Below are 23,876 nucleotides of genomic sequence, written 5' to 3'. Positions count from 1 at the left end.
TTTTTTAAGCAAGACTAAAAGCAGAGGGAACAAAAGTAAAAATGGATGGGATTACATCAAGCTAAAAAGCTTCTGTACAGCAAATGAAACAATTAACAGAGTGAAGAGACAACCTAAAGAATGGGAGAAAATATTTGCCAATTACACATTTGATAATAGCTTAATATAAAAGCATATAAGGAACTCAAACAACCGAATAGCAAAAACCAAATAATCCAATTTAAAAATGGACAAAAATCCCCTGCACTTCTCAAAATAAGACATTCAAATGACAACAGATATATGAAGAAAACATTCATCAGTTATCATCAGGGACATACAAATCAAACCCACAATGAGATATCATCTCATCCTAGTTAGAATGGCTATTATCAAAATGACAGAAAATAACAAATGCTAATGTGGATGCTGAGAAAGGGAAACGCTTGCACATGTTAATGGAAATCTAAAGTATTATAGTTATTATGGAAAGTAGTATGAAGCTTCCTCAACAAACAAAAAATAGAACTACCACAGGATCCAGCAATCCCACTGCTGGATATACATCCAAAAGAGAGGAAATTAGTATACTCAAAAGATACCTGCACTCTCATGTCTATTGCAGCAAGCACTATTTACAATAGCCAAGGTGTGTAATCAACCTGAGCCCATCAACAAATGAATGGAAAAAGAAAACGTGGTTTATATACACAATAGAATATTATTCAGCCATAAAAAGAATGAAATCAGCCAGGTGCGGCGGCTCACGCCTGTAATCCCAGCACTTTGGGAGGCCAAGGCGGGTGGATCACAAGGTCAGGAGATCCAGCTACTCGGGAGGCTGAGGCAGGAGAATCGCGTGAACCTGGAAGGCGGAGCTTGCAGTGAGCTGAGATCGCGCCACTGCACTCCAGCCCTGGTGACTCAGCGAGACTCTGTCTCCAAAAAAAAAAAAAAAAAAAAGGAATGAAATCCTGTCAGTGGCAGCAACATGGATGTAACTGGAGGACATTATCTTAAGTGAAATAAGTCAGACACAAGAAGGCAAATATCACATGTTCTCAATCATGTGTGGAAGCATATAAAGTGGATCTCATGAAGGCAGAGAGTAGAATGGTTGTTACCAGAGGCTGGGAAGGGAAGTGGGATGAATAGAAGTTGGTTAATGGGTACAGAAATACAATTAAATAGAAAACATAAGTTCTAGTGTTCAATAGCACAATAAGTAAATTATAGTTTAAAATTATTTATTGCATATTTTAAAATAGCTAGAAGAGAAGAATTGTAACGTTCCCAACACAAAGAAAATATACCCCAGGTACCCTGATTTGAACATTTCACATTGTATACATGTATCAAAATATAACATGTACCCCCAAAATATGTACAACTATGATATATCAATTAAAAACACATAAAAACTATTCTTGAAATATCCTCATCAGATTTTTGCATCAAGATTATTTTATCCTCGAAGAAGTTAGGGCATATTAGGTTTTTTCCTAAGTCTAAAATCAGTAGAATTCCTTAACTTTTAAATAATTACTTGTAGAGTCATGTGGCATGAACTTCTCTCTGATGAGAGGTTGTGAAATTATGGATGTGATTTCTTTTAAGGCTATTTATTCACTTTTTTAATATTGACTTATGTTGGTGTTTATAAATACAATTTTAGGATAATTTGTCAATTTTATCTGATTGTTGTTTACTTATATAATGTACATGATATCATCTTACCATTTTTTAATATCTGTATAGATCTTTAGTGATATTTCAACTTTAATGACCATTATTGTTGTTTTTTTTAAAAATACATTTTTTAAAAAATCGACAAATAAAAATGTTATGTATTAATGATGTACAGCATGATGTTTTGATACATGTATACATTCTAAAGTGGCTAAATCAAGCTAATTAACACATGCGTTGACACACAAACTTCTGATTATTTTGTGGTAAAAACACTTAAAATCTACTTTCTTAGCAATTTTCAAGTATACAATCCATCTTTATTAACCATAGTCACCATGAACTTATGCCTCCTATCTCATTTAAATTCTGTATCCTTTGACCACCATCACCCCAGTTTCCCACTCCCAGCCCCTGGTAGCACCATTTTACTCCTTGCTGGTATGACTTTCACATTTTTAGATTCCACAATAAGTGAGAAGATGATGTATTTGTCTTTCTATGCCTGCCTTATTTCACTCAACATGTCCTCCAGGTTCATCCATGTTGTCACCAACTACAGGAATTTTTTCTTTTAAAAAAGTCTGAATAGTAGTCCATTGTGTATCTCTACCAGATTTTTAATCCATTCATTTATTGATAGACACTTAGGTTGATTCCTTGGCTATTGTACACAAGGCTGAAATTAAAATGAAAGTGCAGACATCTCTTCAACATACTGCTATTGTTTCCTGTGAATATATATCCAGTAATGGGATCACTGGATTATATGAAGTTCTAAGTTTTTGATGAACCTCCATACTGTTTTTGTAATGGCTGTACTAATTTATATTTCCATCATAGTGTGCAAAGGTTTCCTTTACTCCACACCCTTACCAACATCTGTTACCATTCATCTATTTTGATGATCGTATTCTGACAGGTGTGAGGTAATATCTCTTTCTGATTTTAATTTGAATTACTGTGATTATTAGTGATTTTGAGCATATTTTCATATACCTGTTGTCCATTTGTTTGTCTTATTTTGAGCAATGTCTATTCAGGTCCTTTGCCCATTTTTAACTGGATTGTTTTCCTGCTATTGAGTGGTTGGAGTTCTTTATATATTTTTATATTAACCTTTTATCAGATGTATAGTTTGCAAATATTTCCTCTAATTCCTTAAGTTCTCTCTTTACTTTGTTGACTGTTTCCTTTGTTGTGTAGAAGCTTTTTAGTTAGATATAATTCCATTTCTATATTTTTGCTTTTGCTGTCTGTGTTTTTGGTGTCATATTTATGAATCATTGCCAGATCCAATGTTGTGGAGCTTTTTCCTATATTTTCTTCTAATAATTTTATAGTTTCAGGTCTTAGTTTTAAGTCTTTAGTCCATTTTGCATTGGTTTTTTATATTTTGTGAGACAAGAGTCTAATTTTGTTCTTCTACATGTGAATATCCAGTTAGTAAACATCCTTTATTGTCACAAATCAATTGACTATAAATGTGTCCATTTATTTTTGGGCTCTTTGTTTCATTGATCTATGTGTTTTTATGTCATTATCATGCTGTTTTGATTACTATAGCTTTATAGTATATTTTGAAGTCAGGTATTGTGATGCCTCCAACTTTGCTCTTTTCACTCAGAATTGCTTGGGTTTTAAGGTCTTATGTGGTTTCTTATAAATTTTGTGGGGAAAAGAAAGACCAGACTGTTACTGTGTCTATGTAGAAAGAAGTAGGCATAAGAGACTCCATTTTGTTCTGTACTAAGAAAAATTCTTCTGCCTTGAGATGCTGTTAATCTGTAACCCTACCCCCAACCCTGTGCTCCCTGAAAACATGTGCTGTCAACTCAAGGTTAAATGGATTAAGGGCTGTGCAGGATGTGCTTTGTTAAACAAATGCTTGAAGGCAGAATGCTTGTTAAGAGTCATCACCACTCCCTAATCTCAAGTACCCAGAGACACAATACACTGCGGAAGGCCGCAGGGACCTCTGCCTAGGAAAGCCATGTATTGTCCAAGGTTTCTCTCCATGTAATAGTCTGAAATATGGCCTCGTGGGAAGGCAAAGACCTGAACGTCCCCCAGCCCGACACCCGTAAAGGGTCTGTGCTAAGGAGGATTAGTAAAAGAGGAAGGCCTTTTTGCAGTTGAGATAAGAGAAAGGCATCTGTCTCCTGCTGTCCCTGGGCAATGGAACGTCTTGGTGTAAAACCCGATTGTATATTCCATCTACTGAGATAGGAGAAAACTGCCTTAGGGCTGGAGGTGAGACATACTGGCGGCAATACTGCTCTTTAAGGCATTGAGATGTTTATGTATATACACATCAAAAGCACAGCACTTTTTTCTTTACCTTGTTTATGATGCAGAGACATTTGTTCACATGTTTTCCTGCTGACCCTCTCTCCACTCTTACCCTATTGTCCTGCCACATCCCCCTCTCTGAGAAACGCCCGATAATGATCAATAAATACTGAGGGAACTCAGAGACTGGTGCCAGCGCAGGTCCTCTGTATGCTGAGCACCAGTCCCCTGGGTCCACTTTTCTTTCTCTATACTTTGTCTCTGTGTCTCTTTCTTTTCTCAAGTCTCTCATTCCACCTGACAAGAAACGCCCACAGGTGTGGAGGGGGAGGCCACCCCTTCAAAATTGAAAATTGTTTCTCTATTTTCGTGCAAAATGTTATTGGGATTTTGATAGAGATTACATTGAACATGTAGATCACTTTAGCCACTATAGATATTTTAACAATATTAACTTTTCCAGCTCTTGAACATGGTTTATCTTTCCATTAATTTGTTTCCTTTCATTCCTGCAACAATGCTTTATAGTTTTCAGTATACAGATCTTTCATCACCTTGGTTAAATTTATTCCCAAGTATTTATTTTTTGTAGATATTGTAAATGAGACTGTGTTCTTGATTTCTTTTTCATACAGTTTGTTGTTAGTGTAGGAAGAGCTACTGATTTTTGTATATTGATTTTGTATCCTGCAACTTTACTGAATTTATTTATTAGTTGTAAATTTTTGTTGGACACTAGGGTTTTCTATATATATGATCAAGTCATCTGCAGAGACAATTTAACTTATTTTCTGAATTTGATACCTTTTATTTCTTAGTATTGCATAAGAAATTTTTTCTTCACTGCTATTAGTAGAAATTTATAACTTTATTTATTTTACAAAAAGCCTACAATTGGTTTTCAAAGTGACTGAATATAGAATCTGTGATAACTGTAATGGTGTTTCAGGGCCTCTGATGTCAGGAGTGTTATCACAGATTCTGTATAGAATCTTTCTGAAATGTCTTGGTTTTCATTTCATTTAACTTTCATATAGTTCAAATTACTCAATAAATTCCCTTTTGATTAACAAACGTTTTCTGTAAAAAATCAAATATTATTTCCAGACTTGCTTGTCATATAGTATCTGTTGCAACTATTTACCTCTGCTATTATAGCACAAAAGCAGCATGGACAACATTCAAACACATGGGCAAGGCTGTATTTCAATAAAACTTCATTTACAAGAAGAGGCGGGCGGCAGCTGGATTTAACCAACTGGCCACAGTTAAAGAACTATGATATAGAAAATGCCTCCGAGAATTTCCTCACAAGGAGAAAGGAATCTGGTACTCACCATCATAATTATCTGATGGCTGGTCATTAGTTTCCAAGCACATTGAGCCCACCCTGCTAATGGATGCACATACCACTGAGGTAACAGGAAGCACACTCCAGCAGAATGTCTCTGATATTTGAAACAAAAATACTGCCGGAACAGCAAATATAAAGGGAATACTGATGGGACACTGGCTATATCTGCTCTTAGTGTCAATCTGCCTACATTCTATAGTTGTAGAAACCCAAAATGTGAAAACCTAGCCCCAGATTGTGTTGCTTTATTTTATGATTCATAAAAAATAGCTAGTATTTATTGGCAGTAAATGATACCATATTTAGGGGTAGGAGACTGCAAGATGAGCACAGTACAGCTTATCAGAAAACTAAGACAGCATGGGAAAATATGAGATAATTGGAAACATATATATATATATACATGTATGTGTGTGTGTACTATATATGTACAACATACATTTAAGTGTGATATATGTGTGTGTATATACACATATAGAGATACACACAGCCTCATACATATAGGTTTTACCTTGTGAAATATAGGATGACTTAAAAGAATTGAGAGAATTTAATGGTATGTTAAAATGTGGTGACAGCTGTTTATGTAGGGAGGAGGAATTCGTGTAACTGTTGGGGGATAAATCATGAAGAAACTTTATTGAAATAGAGACAAATTGTTAAATATTATAAGATAATAACATTTAAAATAGATTAAGTATGTCATCTCACCTGTTGAAAATAATGTTCATTGAACATTTGATTGATGAAATTATAATCGGGTATATACATATATTTTAAAATGAATAAATAAAACAAATTTTGGTCATTCAAAAATTTGTAAATGCAGGAATGTCTGAGAAGGATTTAAAAACCTCATTATAATGTTTAGCAATTCTTGCAAGAACAAGAGATAGGGAAAAATTTGGATCACATTTAGTAAAAGTTTGTAGAGAAAATAGAGAATGAAGCCAAATGAGTTAGGAACTGAGATGTGTATAATAAAAAGGACTTCATTTAGCCAATATATTCAAAATCAATCTGCTGGCATGATTGGCAACAGTAATGCAAACCTAGTGTTAATGACAGACTTGCCTTCTCAGTTTAAGAGTTGTGGGAACGTGATTTATACATCTTAACTCATCCTGTTTCTCATATTTCAGTTATAAATTAATGGCATTGTTGCATATATCATTTATATATACCATGACAAACATGTCTTATGTTTTATCAGAAACATAAAAATTGTGCTCGAGTTTCAATCTTTGTTACTCACATTTTTATTACCACAGTCACATTCTTCATTGGATTCCAAAATCCCATTACCACACACTGGTTGATTTTGATGTAATGGTTGCAAATTTGAAAGCTTCTGAAGGCATTTAGTCTCAAATTTTGAAACAAAATATCTATAGTCGTGCATGCTGCAGTTGCTAAAAATCTTTCTACCACTGGCACTCCTAAAATAAAATAATATTCCTCAGGCAAATAAGCCTGGCTAATAAAACCACATCTAAACAACACTCCATACATAATCATGTAAATCACAAGATGGCCACCCCAAAATTTATACTTTAGCAGAGATTCAACCAAGGATAATTAAATTTTAATATTGCTTATCTTTAACATTCTCTTAAAAAATTGCATTAAAAACCTATTTTCTCATCAAGGTAATGCAATAAGGTATGGTGGTTAAATCTATGTATCTATATCTATGCATTTACATATCTCTATATCTAACCATCTATCTATTGTTCCCTCTGCATAGTGTGCTCTTCTGTTATATAGTTCAAGCTTTCTTCCTTCATTTTGTAGGGAAAAGAAAGAGAGATCAGACTGTTACTCTGTCTATGTAGAAAGAGAAGACATAAGAAATTCCATTTTGACCTGTACCTTAAACAATTGCTTTGCTGAGATGTTGTTAATTTGTAACTTTGCCCTAGCCACTTTGCCCCAACCTTGAGCTCACAAAAACATGTGCTGTATGGAATCAAGGTTTAAGGAATCTAGGGCTGTGCAGGACGTGCCTTGTTAACAAAATGTTTACAAGCAGTATGCTTGGTAAAAGTCATCGCCATTCTCTAGACTCAATAAACCAGGGGCACAATGCACTGCGGAAAGCCACAGGGACCTCTGCCCTGGAAAGCCGGGTATTGTCCAAGGTTTCTCCCCATGTGATAGTCTGAAATATGGCCTCGTGGGATGACAAAGACCTGACCGTCCCCCAGCCTGACACCCGTAAATGGTCTGTGCTGAGGTGGATTAGTAAAAGAGCCTCTTGCAGTTGAGATAGAGGAAGGCCACTGTCTCCTGCCTGCCCCTGGGAACTGAATGTCTCGGTATAAAACCCGATTGTACATTTGTTCAATTCTGAGATAGGAGAAAAACCGCCCTATGGCGGGAGGCGAGACATGTTGGCAGCTATGCTGCCTTGTTATTCTTTACTTCACTGAGATGTTTGGGAGGAGAGAAACATAAATCTGGCCTACGTGCACATCCAGGCATAGTACCTCTCCTTGAACTTAATTATGACATAGATTCTTTTGCTCAGATTTTTTTTTTTTTTTTTGCTGACTTTCTCCTTATTATCACTCTGCTCTCCTACCGCATTCCTCTTGCTGAGATAATGAAAATAATAATCAATAAAAACAGAGGGAACTCAGAGACCGGTGCCGGTGCAGGTCCTTGGTATACTGAGTGCCGGTCTCCTGGGCCCACTGTTTTTCTCTATACTTTGTCTCTGTGTCTTATTTCTTTTCTCAGTCTCTCGTCCCACCTGACGAGATATCCCACAGGTGTGGAGGGGCAGGCCACCCCTTCACATTTCAGTCAGATGTCTGCTCAAATGTTACCCTCCAGAGAGATCCTTCTTGACAACACTATCTTAAATTGTGCCCCCTCTTCATTCTCCTTCTACTTTCAATATTTTTCTATACAGCACTTTTGCATTATGTAAAAATAAGCTTCATTAATTTTTATTTTCAAAATTTCATCTCATATTACCTAAGTTTCACACTAAAATATAAGTCCCGGGGAGATCTTTATTTACATGTTCACATGTATATTTCCACTAGTATATCTAGGAGAAATGTCTAATAGATGCACAACACACATTTCAAATATACTGTATGTGATATTGAACTACTTATGACAACCATGTCTGTTCTCAGTTGCTGAATACTCCATTCTTTCAGTTGCTAAAGGCTGATAGCATTGGTGTGACCCTGGACTCTGTTCTTTCTCTCACCATCCATACCCAACACAAATACACATACACACTAGAATAGAACATAACCAATTAACAATTTTTATTTTGGTTACTTGTTAAAGTGATAATATTTTGGATCTATTGGGTTACATAAAATATATCATTAAAATATATTACCACAATTAATTTCACCTGATTATTTTAATTGTTTTAATTGTTTTTAATTATGTTTAATTAAAACATAAAATTATGTTTAATTTTCATTATGTTTAATTGCTTCTAGAAAATTTAAAATTACATATGTGACTCACATTTTATTTCTATTGGATAGCACCAAGGTAGACAATCATGTATTAGACAGCACTATAGCACTATGTTAGACAATCGTCTCAGATAGCAATACTTAAAGAGCAAAATCTGAGATGACAGAGGTTCTGGGTAGTCCTTTAAGCCTCCAAGGAAAGAAATGTATAGTTTCTAAAGTTTCAGAGTTGAAAGTTTAAGAGCAAAAAGAAATGCCTTAGCTTATTTTAACAGCCATTTGTTGTGGAACAAATATGAAAAAGTAAGAGGAATATTACACAGAATAATGTTATTTAATCAGATTGTCTCTATTATTTTAAAATACTTTGTTTTAATAGGAATAAGTATTACCATACTTTTGCAAGACACTCTCATGCAAAAAGCTACAAATACTGAGCACTAAAATCTCTTCACACAAAATTAGTGTATAAATAGATATGGACTCAGAAGTTATCTTCTACCTGGAGTATATAATTTCCAACAACTGAAAATTAAAAATATTGTTTACAAAATAAGACTTTTGTTTAAGATGGTTACAAAGCAACTAAGTTTTGAAACCTCTGCTTAAAAGTTGGGCATGACAAGAAAGAATATGAATGCGATGTCAGTGATGTGTATGTGTGTGCACAGACAAAGATATAGATCAATCTATAGTATATATCCCTAAGTATACATAATTTTTGTGTGATAACTTTACAAGCATGATGTAACTTTCTAGCCATTGATGTGGTGCCGAATATAAAAGTTTAAAAACATTATCACATTTTGGAAACAACCTTATAAAAATATAAATGAAATTAATTAAGAAAACATCTTACACTGCTTCATGATTCATGATGCATGTAGCTCTCAGACAGAAACACTGAGTGATGTCATCATATGTTAATCCTACATTAAGGCCAAGCAGTTGAGCTATAATAACCGAAAATCCCTCCAAACCTATTGCATCTGGATACTAAAATAAAAGACATGAAAAAGAAAATTATTATGTGTGAAAATAAAAGTAATAACTTGAAATATTTTTACTCCTATCATATTTTCTATTTTAATACTTCTTATGTTAAGCATACTTCACAACAATTATTTTGGTATGCCATTTATTTATCTGCCGTAATTTATTGATTAAGAAGCATGAAACAAGTAATCAAACTATGATAGTCTCTGGTTTTAAATTTTGCACGCCAAAATTCTATAGCTTTGAACAGGTGGTATTTCTGATACAATACAACATGTTTATTTCACTTTCTCATTGAATCAGTTCATCCAATGAATAGATATCAATTCAGTGTACTCATGTGTCAGGCATTATGATAGATGGTAGGAATACAGTGGCATGTATGAAAGAAAAGGACTTTGTTCACATCTATAGCTTATATTATAGAAAGAGAGAAAGACAACAGTAATCTGCAATAAACTTTCTATGTAAAAATAGATTGTTACACATGCTTTTAAGAAAATAAAGTACTCCAATAGAAAATTTTATGGAGGGGTATAAAATAAGGTAGTTAAGTAAGGTAGTTAGAACATCTTCTTTGTGAAATTTATATTTAGGCTGAGATACAAAGTATGGGAAATGACCCAACATTATGTATACGTATAGGGGGCTGGAATGTGGACCTACCGAAAAGTTGTGTATAATGACTAAAGTGAAGAAATGACAGGACAGAAGCCAGAGAGTCAGACACAATCACAGTAAAGAAATTTGGGCCAGGTGCAGTGGCTTAGGCCTCTAATCCCAGCGTTTTGAGAAGCCAAGGCAGTAGGACTGCTTGAGGCCAGGAACTCAAGACCAGCCTGGGCAACATAGTGAGACTCCGTCTCTACAAAAAAAAATTAAAAATAGCCAGCAAGATGATGCACACTTGCAGTCCCAGCTATTTGGGAGAAGGCAGGAGAATGACTTGAGCCCAGGAGTTTGGGGTTGCAGTGAGCTGATTGCACCACTGTACTCCAGCCTGGGCTACAGAGTGAGATCCTGTCTCAAAGACCAAAACAAAACAAAAAATAAATTTGAAGTGAGAAGATATTAAAAAATGCTTGCTAACAGTGTGGACTCAAAGTGTTTTTCATATTATTTATCTTTGATAAATAAATAATGATATATTTCTTAGCTCTTTAATCATTACAAACAAAAATCTGAGAACATGTCTAATTTTTCTCTATCATTTAAATGTATAACTAGAAAATCTGTGTAATGCATAACTAAAAGAAAAAAGATTGTGTACATGTTTGTATGTATATGACTGAAAACACAGAATTGGCAATATGAAAAAATAAACTAATAAGTATCCTTTCCTATTATCCTGTAATAAATATGCTTAAAAGTTACAGTGTCAGAATTTGAAAGGAGTTAAAGCCAGAGCAGAATATGAGGAATGATATCTAGGCTGACCATCATGTTTTGGGGCAAGATACAAAAACCAAAAGCTAGACTTTTGATACTAGATCAGAGAGGGAAATATGGTCTTGCACTTCCAGCATAAATGGCACTCTTATAAAAAGAAGGTATTTAGATAAAGTGACAGAGACACAGAAAGAACTTCATGTGAACAGAAAGGCAAATATTGGGGTAATGCATCCATAAGCCAAGAAATGCCAAAGATTGCCAGCAAACCACCAGAAGCTAGGGCAAAGGCAGAGAAAAGATTGTCGTTCGCAGCCCTCAAGAGGAACCACTCTGTTCATTTTGATTTCAGAACTCTATTTTATCCAGAACTGTGAAGTAATACATTTCTGTTGATCAAGTGCTCAGTTTGCGGTATTTTGTTATGGCAGCCCTGGAAATCTAATACAGACCCCCTAATATATCAAAACCCAAAGTAATATATCTTAAAAGTGCCCAGGAATGGGGAAGATACATTACATAGTGAGGAAAAGGTAAGAATTACAGCAAAGTTGTCATCAGAACAGTGCAAAAGAGTAAACAGGAGGAAAATCTCCTTAAAAGTGGCTCTAGATAAGGATGCCCTCTCTCACCACTCCTATTCAACATACTATTAAAAGTTCTAGCAAGGCAATCAGGCAAGAGAAAGAAGGCATCCAAAGAAGAAGTCAAACTATCTGTGTTTGCAGATAACATGATACTATCTCTAGAAACCCCACAATCTCATCCCAAATACGTCTTAAACTGATAAACAATTTCAGCAAAGTCTTAGAATACAAAATCATATGCAAAAATCACTGGTATTCCTATACACCAACAATAATCAAGCCAAGAGCCAAGTCATAAAGGGACTCACATTCACAATTGTGACAAAAAGAATAAAATACCTAGGATGCAGCTAACTAGGGAGGTGAAAGATCTCTACAAGGAGCATCACAAACCACTGTTCAAAAAAATCAGAGATGATAAAAACAAGTGGAAAAACATCCCATGCTCATGGACAGAAAGAATCAATATTGTTAAAATGGTCATGCTGCCCAAAGCAGTTTATAGATTCAGTACTACTGCTATTAAACTACCATTTACATTCTTCACAGAGCTAGAGAAAAGTATCTTAAAATTCATATGGAACCACAAAAGAGACTGACTAGAAAGGCAATTGTAAGCAAAAAACAAACAAAAAATGAAAACAACAAGAAAACAAAGCTGGAGACATCATGGTTGCTACCTGACTTCAAACTATACTATAGGGCTACAGTAACCAAAACAGCATGGTACTGATAGAAAAACAGACACCTAGACTAATGGAACAGAATAGAGATCCCAGAAATAATACCACAGGCCTACAACTATCTGACCTTCAACAAACCTAACAAAAACAAGCAAAGGGGAAAGAATTCTCTATTTAATAAATGATGCTGAGATAACTAGCCACAAGCAGAAGAATGAAACAGGGCCCCTTCCTTATACCATACACAAAAGTTAACTCAAGATGGATTAAAGACTTAAATGTAAAACTCAAAACTATAAAATCCCTGGAAGACAAGCTAGGCAGTACCATTCAGGACATAGGCAGGGGCAGAGATTTCATTATGAAGATGCCACAGCAATTGCAACAAAACCAAAAATTGACAAATAGGATCTAATTAAACTAAAGAGCTTCTGCACAGCATAGGAAACTCTCAATAGAGTAAACTATCTACAGAATGGGAGAAAATTTTTGCCAACTATGCATCTGACAAAGGTTTAATATCTAGCATCTGTAGGGAACTTAAGGAAATTTACTAGAAGACAAAAACTAACAACTCCATAAAAATTGGGCAAAGGACACGAACAGGCATTTTTCAAAAGAAGAAATACATGTGGCCAACAATCATATGAGAAAAAGCTCAACATCACTGATCATTAGAGAAATGCAAATCAAAATCACAGTGAGATACCATCTCACACTAGTAAGAGTGGCTATTACTAAAAAGTCAAAAAATAACAGATGCTGGAGAGGTTGTGGAGAAAGAGGAACACTTATACACTGCAGGTGGGAGTGTAAATTAGTTCAGCCATTGTGGAAAACAGCGTGGTGTTTCCTCAAAGACCCAAAGACAGAAATACTATTAGACCCAGAAATTTCATTACTGGGTATATACCCAAAGGAATATAAATCATTCTAAATACTATGTGGCCATAAAAAAGAATGAGATTATGTCCTTTGCAGGGACATGGATGGAGCTAGCGGTCACTATCCTTAGCAAACTAACACAGGAACAGAAAACCAAATACCACATGTTCTCACTTATAAGTGGGAGCTAAATGATGAGAACACATGGACACCTAGAATGATGAGAACATATGGACGCCTAGAACACATGGACACCTAGACACATGGAACAACACACACTGAAGCCTATCAGAGGATGGAGGGTAGGAGGAGGGAGAGGATCAGAAAGAATAACTAATGGGTACTAGGCTTAATACCTGGATGTTGAAATAATCTGTACAACAAACTATATAACAAAGCTACAGTAACCAAAACAGCATGGTATTGGTACAAGAACAGACGCACAAACCAATAGAACAAAATAGAGAACCCAGAAATAAGACCACACACATACAACTGTCTGATCGAACAAAAACAAGCAGTGGGGAAAGGATTGCCTATTTAATAAATGGTGCTGGGAGAACTGGCTAGCCATAAGCAGAAGAATGAAACTGGACCCCTTCCTTACACCATATACAAAACTTAAGATGGATTAAAGACTTAAATGTAAAACCCCAAACTGAAAAACCCTGGAAGACAAGCTATGCAGTACCATTTGGGACATAGACATGGGCAATGATTTCATGAAAAAGATGCCAAAAGCAATTGCAACAAAACCAAAAATTGACTAATTAAACTAAAGAACTTTTGCACAACAAAATAAATGATCAACAGAGTAAACAGACAACCTACAGAATGGGAGAAAATTTTTGCAATCTACCCATCTGACAAAGGTCTACTATCCAGCATCTACATGGAACATAAACAAATTAACAAGAAAAAAAAAACCATTACAAAGTGGACAAAGGACAAGAACAGACACTTCTCATAAAAAAAAAATATGTGGCCAAAAATATGAAAAAAAGCTCAACATCACTGGTCATTAGAGAAATGTAAATCGAAACCACAATGAGATAGCACCTTACATCAGTCAGAATTGCTATTATTAAAAAGTCAATAAACAACAGATGCTGGCGAGGTTATAAAGAAAAAGGAATGCTTTTACACTGTTCATGGGAGTGTAAATTACTTCAACCATTGTGGAACACAGTGTGGCAATTCCTCAAAGACTTAGAGGCAGAAATACCATTTGACTCATGAATCCCATTACTAACTATATACCCAAAGGAATATAAATCATTCTGTAATAAAGACACATGCACACATTTATTTATTGCAGCACTAGTCACAATAGCAAAGACATTGAATCAACCCAAATGGCCACCAAGATAGACTGGATAAAGAAAATGTGGTACATATACATCATGCAATACTATGCAGCCATAAAAGGAATGAGATTATGTCCTTTGCAGGGACATCGATGGAGCTGGAAGCCATTATCCTCAGCAAACTAATGCAGGAACAAAAAGTCAAATACCACATATTCTCACTTATAAGTGGGAGCTGAATGATGAGAACACATGGACACATGGGGGAACAACACACACTGGAGCCTGTTGGAGGTTGGAGGAGTGGGAGGTGGGAGAGGATCAGGAAGAATAGCTAAAGGATGTTGGGCTTAATATCTATGTGATGGAATGATATGTGCAGCTAAACAGCATGGCACACTTTTAACTAGGTAACAAACCTGCACATCCTGTACATGTACCCTTGAATTTAAAAGTTGGAATTAAAAAAATTAAAATTTTGTCTATCATATAACTTTCACACAATTTACTTCCCATTTTTCTTTGTCAGTAAATTATAGGAGCTCATTTCTACCAAAATGAGCAAAATATGAAAGAGGGATACACATAATACAAAGGAAACCAGACTGAAAATTCTCCAACCCTGTCTATGCATCAAGTGTAATATAGATTGGTAAAACAGACAATTTCTCCAGAATGTCTCCAAGAAAGGAAAGACGAATTTCTGAAACAAGGAGAAAACTAGAAACAATGTATGATTTTATTAAATAGTTGTGCAAATCAATATAATGCAATTATTAAATTTAGGAAGAACAAAAAGGCACACAATCAAGGCAATTGAACTAAGATTAAAATCTTAGTTCATTACTTGGCTCATTAGGGAATAAGACACAATTCAAATGAGTTATATAATTATAGAGGGGGAATGAAGCAGTCGAAATATGGATATGATGAACTATTAAGATGTTACATTCTAACTTCAATAATAGGAAGTCAATAGATAATACTCACATTTGAAGAGTCAGGAAACTTCATGGGCGTATTTTTAAGAAATACGTGGTAAAAGAATGAACAAACTATTCCTACTCATAAGAACATAAATGATTGCTATAGACATAATATTGAGCAAAATAGAGCAGGGAAGAATACACACTGTGTTCTGCTTACATAAACTTCAAAAAGAAGTAAAATTAAACAAAGGCAATTGGATAGTGGTTTCCTTTGGTATGGGTAATAGGTGGGAGGACGCATGATTCACAAGTACCTTCTGAAGTGTTGATAATATTCTATTTTTTGATCTTTGTGGTGTTTATACCTATGCATAAACTCGATAAAAATTAATTGTGCTATAAACTTTGACTTGTGGAATTTTATCTATATACTATATTTTGTACTTCAACAAAACTTTTCTTTGAAAAGAAATTAACATGGAGTTATATGGTTACAAAGAAGAAATTTTCTAATTGAGAAAGATGATTTAAGGGTTGTAAATTTTGCAGGAAACAGTTTTATCAATATACAAATTTTCAATATCTAAAAACAATATATATTATTTATGCATTCATATATTTATTAAAATAGCATAAAGTATGTGTAAAATTGCAAGCACAAATTCATGATTTTTGCTATTTATTGAACTTGGAGGAAATGTGCAGGAGGCTTTAACATTGCTCTAATGCTTTGTTTATTTAAAAATCTAAAGCAAATGTTCGTGTCCATTATGACCAGTTGGTGAGTGATTACACTAAGGTTTGTTCACATAATATTCTTTGTGTTTGAACTTTATAAATAAATAAACTTTCTGAGATTCTATTAATTTTGTCCCAATAAAATAATAATGAATATACATATACAGAAAAAGATCAAATGGTTTTACACTATTTAACTACTTAAATTAATACTTACAAAATATAATATAAGGCCTAAAAATAGTGATGTAAAGAAGAATAAAAATTACATACCATAGCAATACCTGCATCATAGCTTTTATTGCATACAGTGCCAGGAAATGTTGCTCCCACATATTTAGGATGTTTCCTGTAACTACATTATTATAATTTTTTATTAACGTAGTTATGCAAAACAATTTGTAAGCTTATGTATTAAATTAAACCTTCTTCACATAAAATTTTAAAAATGACTTTGCAAATATATAAAGCTTCAAACTAGGTAATATCTAATAAACATTACAAAATACTAAATACTAAATACTAAATCTAAATACTAAAATCATTGACTTTAATCAATTCACTTTAATACCAATGTAATTTCCTTGTATATCTCCTAAAATGGATATAATTTTATTAGCTCAAATTCAACTTAGTTTGGTTATCAAAAGTTAAAGAGAAAATAATTTTTAATTTGTGGAAGAAGCAATCTTACTAGTCCTAAAGATAAGCATTTTTAAATATTAAATATTAAAAAAAACCCAAATCCCTCCTAGTAAAAAGTAGACATGAAATGTATTAATTTATCATGAATAATTTTAACTGAATAGTCTCCGTTTTTACATCATTCATAAACTAAGGATTATATGTTTTCTGTAGCAAAGTCAACATTACAGAAGTTCATGAAATGCAGGTTTTTGAAATAATACTTACACTCCAAACTATTCTAATACAAAACTGATTATTGTTACTTTTATTATATTTTTAAGTACACTAGCACCTCTATGACAAAGGCTACTAATTTTTAAACACTTCCAAAGGGGCTTACAAAAAACTGAAGAACGCAATAAATTCACTAAATTACCAATTTAAAATAATTATGCAGATATCTTTATTAATGTAGAACATTGTGCTTACACAAGTAAGTATGCTATGTCATGGGGCCGTAGGATGAGATAGTCCCGTTTCCATGCCAAAAATCTTTGTAATATATCATCAGCATCCCCACTGGTGGAAATCTGGTTTTCATTTGACCACAATTCCAAGGAAGACAGTATAACAGTCAATTTGAACTGGGTAAACATCTAAAAATAAGATGTATTGTACATTTTTAAAGAAACAAGTTATTACATTTAAAAGGTACATTAAAAAATAAACAACATGTTCCAGTATTTTCAGTATTAAACTAATAAAAAGTATTTAAGTTATTCATTGGCCAAGATAGAACCCAAATTATATTAAAGAAACTTTCATGAAAATGGAAATGTGAAAAAGTAAAAACTTACAGTGTTGACAAGCCCAATAACCTGGACAATTTTTTGTGTTACAGCCATCATTTCAGATCCCATATAATCATACTGAAAAAGAAATTTTATTTTTCATGAAAGTATTATTTTGAATCCATGTGAATGAAATGATATTTAGGCATTGTATTAGATATTATAAGTAATCTAGAGCTGTTTTAAAGTACATAGGAGAATGTGTGCAGATTTGAGCAAATTCTACACTATTTTATATGAGACAAGATTTTATGGATTATATATTATGTATATACATATATATATATATATATATATATATATATATATATATATATATATAAAATACACACATGCGGAAATATTATTAAGCCTTGAATATGGTTGTCCTGTCATTTGTGAAAACATGGATGAATCTGGAGGACATTATGCTAAGTGAAATAAGCCAGATACAGAAAAGAAAATACTACATGATCTCACTTATATGTGGTATCTAAACAAAACAAAACAAATATATTCAAATACATGGAAACAAAGTGAAAAGGTGGTTGTCAAGGGGCAGAGGGCTGAGTGTGGGGAGAAATGTGGAAACGGCATTCATAGGATACAAAGTTTGGGTTATGTAGAATAAGTAAGTCTAGAGACCTAATGTACAAAGCGAGAACTACAATTAACAATATTGTTTTATATACTGAAAATTAGCTAAAAGAGTAGATTTTAGGTACTTTTACCATTAAAATGTAACACTATGTATATAAAAACATTATGATGTATACATCTTAAACATATATACTTTTAAAAAGAATAAAAGGTTAGAGAGAAGATATAAATTGCCAACATCAGGAATGAAAGAGGATTATAATATCAAAGGATGATAATAAAGTATGAAAGTACTGATGTCAATAACTTATTACATTTTAATACACTTGAAAATATTATTTAAAATGGCATTTGCCAAAATGGCCAAAGATAAAGTTCAAAGAATATATAATCATATAACTATTAAAGTGGATTCTGTAATTTTAAACCTTCCCATTAAAATATCAGGTTAATAAAGAAATATAAGGGTTAATTGTTGGACAGGTGCAGTGACTCACGCCTATAACCCCAACACTTTGGGAGACTGAGGCGTGGACAACATGGTGAGACTTCATCTCTTTAAAAAATTTTAAAAAAATTATCCAGGCATTGTGGTGCATGCCTGTAGTCCCAGCTACTTGGAAGGATGAGGCAGAAGAATTGGTTGAGGCCAGAAGTTCGAGATTGCGGTGAGCTATGATTTTGTCACTGCACTCCAGGCTGCATGAGAGAGTGAGGCCCCCTCTCTCTCTCTCTCTCTCAAAAAAAAAAAAACAAAAAAACTTAATGGTTACAGATATTTAAATAATAAGTAAAGAATAAGTAAAGGCATTTGTACAAAAATCATTCAGAATGTAGGAAAAGGGCAGACATTGTAATTAGTTTTATGAAACCAACACTGCTTTAACAACAGCTTAACAAGAAAAGGTCTTTTTTGGATATTCTTGTCAAACATAAAACGGATTCTCAATGTAACCACGAGAAAACTCAGGCAAGTCCAAACTGAGAAACATTTCTAGAAAATAACTGGCACGTATTCTCCAATTGTGCCAAGGTACATGAAAGACAAAGATCATAGTAATGCCACAGATTGGAGTAGAAAAAAGAAACATGTCAACTCAATGGAATGTAGGATCTTATAATTGAGGACTGAATTAGGAAAAAGACACTTGTGGGAAAAATGTCAAAAATTTTATAATAGTTGTTAATAATGTAGAAACATTAACTTTTATGTTTTGATTACTATATTATGATTATATAAGAAGTTAACTTAGGAGAAGTTGTGAAAAGAATCTTTACTGTTTCTTAACTTTCATGTAAGTCTAAAGTTCTTTCAAAATAATAAGTTTAAAATAATAAAATGCAGCTAAAGAGCAAAGAGGGATATCTCACCAATATCATTAGTGAACATTAGAAATGCTGATACTACAAATATACCAATTTTTAAAAGATAAAAGAATGTGTTACAAATTCATTCTAAGAAATTTGATAATTTAGATCATTTTAAAAATCTACTTGAAAACCTATGCCTTAGTCCATTTGCCCTGCTACAAAAGAATAACACAGACTGGGTATTATAAAAAAGAGAAATCTATTTCCTCACATTTCTGGGAGTGGAGAAGTCCAAGAACAAGTTGCTAGCATCTGGTCTGGTGAGGGCCTTCTTGCTGTATCCTCACATGGCAGAAGGCAGAAGAGAAAGCTACACAGTGCTTTTATAAGGGCCTTAATCTCATCTGTAAGGGAAGAAGTTCTTGTGCACTAATCACCTCTAAATGGTCCCATTCCTTAATACCATCACATTGGCCATTAAGTTTTAATACCTGAATTTTGGAAGGAACATATTCAAACCCTAACATTCCACCCCTAGTTTCCCAAAATTCATGTCATTCTCACGTACAAAATACCTTCATCCCATCCAAATAGTCCTAAAAAATCCTAACTTGTTCTATCATCAACTTTAAAATCTAATTTCAAAATCTCACCTAAACATTATATGAGTAAGACTCAAGGCAAGATTTATTCTGGGGCAAATTCATTTCCAGCTGTGAGTCTATGAAATTGAACAAGTTATATGATTCCAAGATACAATGGTGGGACAGACATAGAACAGACATTCCCATTTCAGAAAGAAGAAAGAGTCAAGAAGAAGGGAATAGCAGGTCCCAAGCCAATGAAAACCCAACAGAGCAAACAATATTAAATCTTAAGGCCTGCAAGTGATCCTCTTTGACTCCATGACCCACCCATGAGACACATTGGGGTGGGATTTGAGCCCCAAAGGCTTTGAGTGGCACCACCCTAATAGCTTTGCTGTGTGCAGCCCATGTTTCAGCTCTCACACATCGAAAATGCATGCATGCAGCTTTCCCAGGTGTTCCTTCCTGGTGGCTCTATAGTTCTGGGGTGTTGTGGGTGGCCCAGCACCTATGTCTCCACTGGGCATTGCCTTAGTGGGGTCTCTCTGAGGCATCCTTTGACTTATAGGTGGAAGTAGCCATGCCACCACAGCTCTTGCACTCTGTGAGCCTGGAGAGTTAGCACCAGGTGGACACAGCCAAGGTTCACAGTCTGCACCCTTTGAAACCACAGTCTGAGATGTACCTGGGCCCAGCTGAGCTAAAGCCAGGGCAGCAGAGAAGTGCCTGGCTGTGATGAAAGGATCTTAGACCTGAGGTGGCCCTGGTGTGCAAGTCTCAAGGTCCTATAAGCATTCTGGCTTCTCTCTTTAACCTGTCTTGCTTACAAATCCCCAGCACTCTGGGCTTGTAATGGGAAGGCAGCCTTGAAGATCTCCAAAATGTCTTTGGGGTTATTCTGCTCTTGTGTTGATAAATAGCAGCTGACTTGCTCTATCCACACAATTTTCTTTAAAGGTCACTTGACACACTCTTGCTATTCTCTCCCATACATACTTCCCCCAACCCCCCATCCCCCACCTTTTTTTTTTTTTACAGGGCAAGGCTGAGAGTTTTTCAAATCTTTACATTCTTCTTCCATTTTAATTATAAAATCCATATTTAAACCATTTATCTTGTCTCAAATTTTACTATAAATAAGTAGGAAAAGCCATGCAGCATCCTGAACACCTTGCTGTTTAGAGATTTCTTTTGCCAAATATCTGAGTTCATCATTCTTAAGTTCTGACTTCCATAAAGTTCTATGGCATGGGCATAATTCAGCCAAGTGATTGGCCACTTTCTAACAAGAGTGGCCTTTCTCCCAATTTCCAATACCTTGGACCTCACTTCCATCTGAGCTCTCATAAGAACAGCCTTTACTGTCCATATTTCTACCAGCATTCTGTTCATGACCACTTAAGTAATTTCTAAAAACTGTTCATAACCACTAATCTCTAAAAAGATTCACAACTTCCCTACTTCTCTTCTTATGAGCTCTCATCAGAATCACCCTTCATTCTCCATTTGCAGTAATACAAGCTTTTTCCATTATTTGCTTCAAAACAGCTCCCGCTTCAACCCATTGCCAGGTACCAAAACTATTTCCACATTTTTAGGCATTTGCAATGGCAACACCCACTCCTGATACCAATTTCTGTCTTGGTCCATTTGTGCTGCTATGACAGAATATGACAGATTGGGTAGTTTGTAAAGAACACAAATTTATTGTTCATAGTCCTAGAGGCTGAGAAGTCTCACATCAAGGCTCCACAAACAGGTCTGGTGAGGACCTTTTTGCTATGTCCTCGTGGAGAGGAAAGCAGAAAGGCAAGCTACAGAATGCTGCATGAAGTCTCTTTTATAAGAGACTTAATCCCATACATGAGGGAAGGAGCTTTCATGACAGAATTGCCTCATGCCTTAAAGTCATAACATTGGCCATTATGTTTCAATACATGAATTATGAAGGGGACACATTCAAACCATAGCAATCTAACTTGTAGAAAGTAAAACAAGTTTAAAGAAAATCTCAACTTCCCTATGTATATCATATGTAAAGAAATTTAATGTGTACTTTAAAATATTTCCTCAAAGAAAACTTAAGGTCTACAGGGTTTCAGAGTAAATTCTTCCAACTATATGTGGAAGGGGTCATACTCATAATATCTAAATTCTCGAAGAGACTATAAGAAGAAGAAAACTCACTAACTTATTTGATGAGGCTAGGATAATCTTGATAACAAGAAGAAAAATCATTATAAGAAAGGAATATAGCATACCATTATTTCATGAACATAAATCCTAAAATCAAAAACAAAATATTAAATAAAAGATCAGGTTACTTGTAAAAATTGATTAAAATGTGATAAGTAGGGTGTATTTTAGAAACACAAGTATGGTTCTCTATATCCATTGATTATCTCTGTAAGAGCAGAAAAAAAATTTGATGAAAAACAGCTATCCATGACAAAAATCTTGGAAAACAGGGAATATAAGGGAGCCTTCCCAATATTATAAAGATCACCTACCAAAAACTAAGAGCTAACATGAAACTTAGCAAGAATGGTTAATCTGCAAGTTAGGGGAAAATTTAGGAATATACACATCAGTCTATTTAACATTGTACTGCAGAGTCAAGCAAGGACAATAAAACAATAAAATGAAATAAAAGTAAAATAAATAGGTAAATTACTAAATACATGTATACATAAATGCAAAACGGAGTAAAAATTGATAAAGAAAAAAATTAAAAATTAAAATTTGAAATTAAAAAAATTAAAATTCATAAATAATATGATTGTGTACATAGAACATTAAAAAATCTACCAAAAATGAAACACAAGAATTAACAAGTAAATTATGCAAAAAATAACAGGATATAAGATAAATTGTGTGTCAACTATGTTTTCAGAAACCAGGGCAAAAATACTTAAATGTTAAATTAAGAATACCATTTACTAGGGCATCACAAAATCATCAAATGCATAACAATAAAACTAACAAAGATGTTCAAGAACACCATAGAACACTGACGAAAGGAATTAACAAAAAATGTAAAGACGAATGTGAGGGGGTTCTCCTTATTCAGAGATTGGATGACTCAATATTGTTAAGATCACAATTCTTTCCAAAGTGAGCTAACCATTCAATGTAATTCCAAAATCAAAATTACAGTATTTTTGGAAAATTTTAGAGGGTGATTCCAAAATGGATTTAAATAAAAGGGGCCCAGAATAGTCAAAGCAATAATTAAGATTAGAAAAAGGACAAAACCAAATAAATTATATAACAATAAAGCTACAGTAATGAACACAGTGAATTATTGATTCAATAAAACAGAAATAGGGCAATGGAAGTGAACAGCAACCTAAGGAATAGGCCACACACAATTATACTACATAATTTTTAAAAATTGCTAACACAACTGAATGGAGTAAGAGACATTTTCCGTAAGTGGAGATGGAGCGAATGGATGTCTATATGGAAAAAAGAGAACCCTGCCTCACAGCGTACACATTGCTCAATTAAAAATATACCATAAAACTTATTTTAAAAGGTAAAGAAAAATACATAAAATGATATGGAAGAAAGTAAAATTATGTCCTTGGAATAAGAAAATATTTCTTAAAAACAAAAGGAAATTAAGAAAACATAAATTGGAC

General features: G+C 34.1%; 1 protein-coding gene across 3 annotated transcripts in view, besides 4 other annotated features; it reads right to left on the bottom strand.

Annotated features, from left to right (window-relative positions):
* ADAM18 (ADAM metallopeptidase domain 18) overlaps positions 1-23,876 on the bottom strand; it is a 145,498-nt gene that overhangs the window by 74,969 nt on the left and 46,653 nt on the right. The window contains exons 8-12 of one of the 3 annotated variants that reach the window (NM_014237.3): positions 17,762-17,833; positions 17,394-17,560; positions 16,551-16,632; positions 9,623-9,759; positions 6,570-6,753 (exon numbers count right to left, since the gene is read on the bottom strand). In NM_014237.3, the coding sequence (NP_055052.1) occupies positions 6,570-6,753; positions 9,623-9,759; positions 16,551-16,632; positions 17,394-17,560; positions 17,762-17,833 (642 nt within the window). The remainder of the gene's footprint in view (positions 1-6,569; positions 6,754-9,622; positions 9,760-16,550; positions 16,633-17,393; positions 17,561-17,761; positions 17,834-23,876) is intronic. The other 2 variants (NR_135201.2, NM_001320313.2) reach the window with 2 other exon arrangements.
* Positions 2,912-3,505: an enhancer, noted in NCBI's record as "OCT4-NANOG-H3K27ac-H3K4me1 hESC enhancer chr8:39509111-39509704 (GRCh37/hg19 assembly coordinates)". NCBI's record gives its function as "activates a minimal SCP1, AML or CMV promoter by ChIP-STARR-seq in primed H9 embryonic stem cells {active_cell/tissue: H9 hESC(primed)}" and the evidence as "EXISTENCE:reporter gene assay evidence [ECO:0000049][PMID:30033119]".
* Positions 3,506-4,099: an enhancer, noted in NCBI's record as "OCT4-NANOG-H3K27ac-H3K4me1 hESC enhancer chr8:39508517-39509110 (GRCh37/hg19 assembly coordinates)". NCBI's record gives its function as "activates a minimal SCP1, AML or CMV promoter by ChIP-STARR-seq in naive and primed H9 embryonic stem cells {active_cell/tissue: H9 hESC(naive and primed)}" and the evidence as "EXISTENCE:reporter gene assay evidence [ECO:0000049][PMID:30033119]".
* Positions 3,660-3,860: a silencer, noted in NCBI's record as "peak6997 fragment used in MPRA reporter construct". NCBI's record gives its function as "represses an SCP1 promoter by STARR-seq MPRAs in K562 erythroleukemia cells {active_cell/tissue: K562}" and the evidence as "EXISTENCE:reporter gene assay evidence [ECO:0000049][PMID:32103011]".
* Positions 4,100-4,694: an enhancer, noted in NCBI's record as "NANOG-H3K27ac-H3K4me1 hESC enhancer chr8:39507922-39508516 (GRCh37/hg19 assembly coordinates)". NCBI's record gives its function as "activates a minimal SCP1, AML or CMV promoter by ChIP-STARR-seq in naive H9 embryonic stem cells {active_cell/tissue: H9 hESC(naive)}" and the evidence as "EXISTENCE:reporter gene assay evidence [ECO:0000049][PMID:30033119]".

This window comes from Homo sapiens, chromosome 8 (assembly GCF_000001405.40).
Source record: "Homo sapiens chromosome 8, GRCh38.p14 Primary Assembly".
Lineage (NCBI taxonomy): Eukaryota > Metazoa > Chordata > Mammalia > Primates > Hominidae > Homo > Homo sapiens.
Note: the sequence above shows the minus strand (reverse complement) of the source record. Positions and strands in the feature narration are given on the sequence as shown.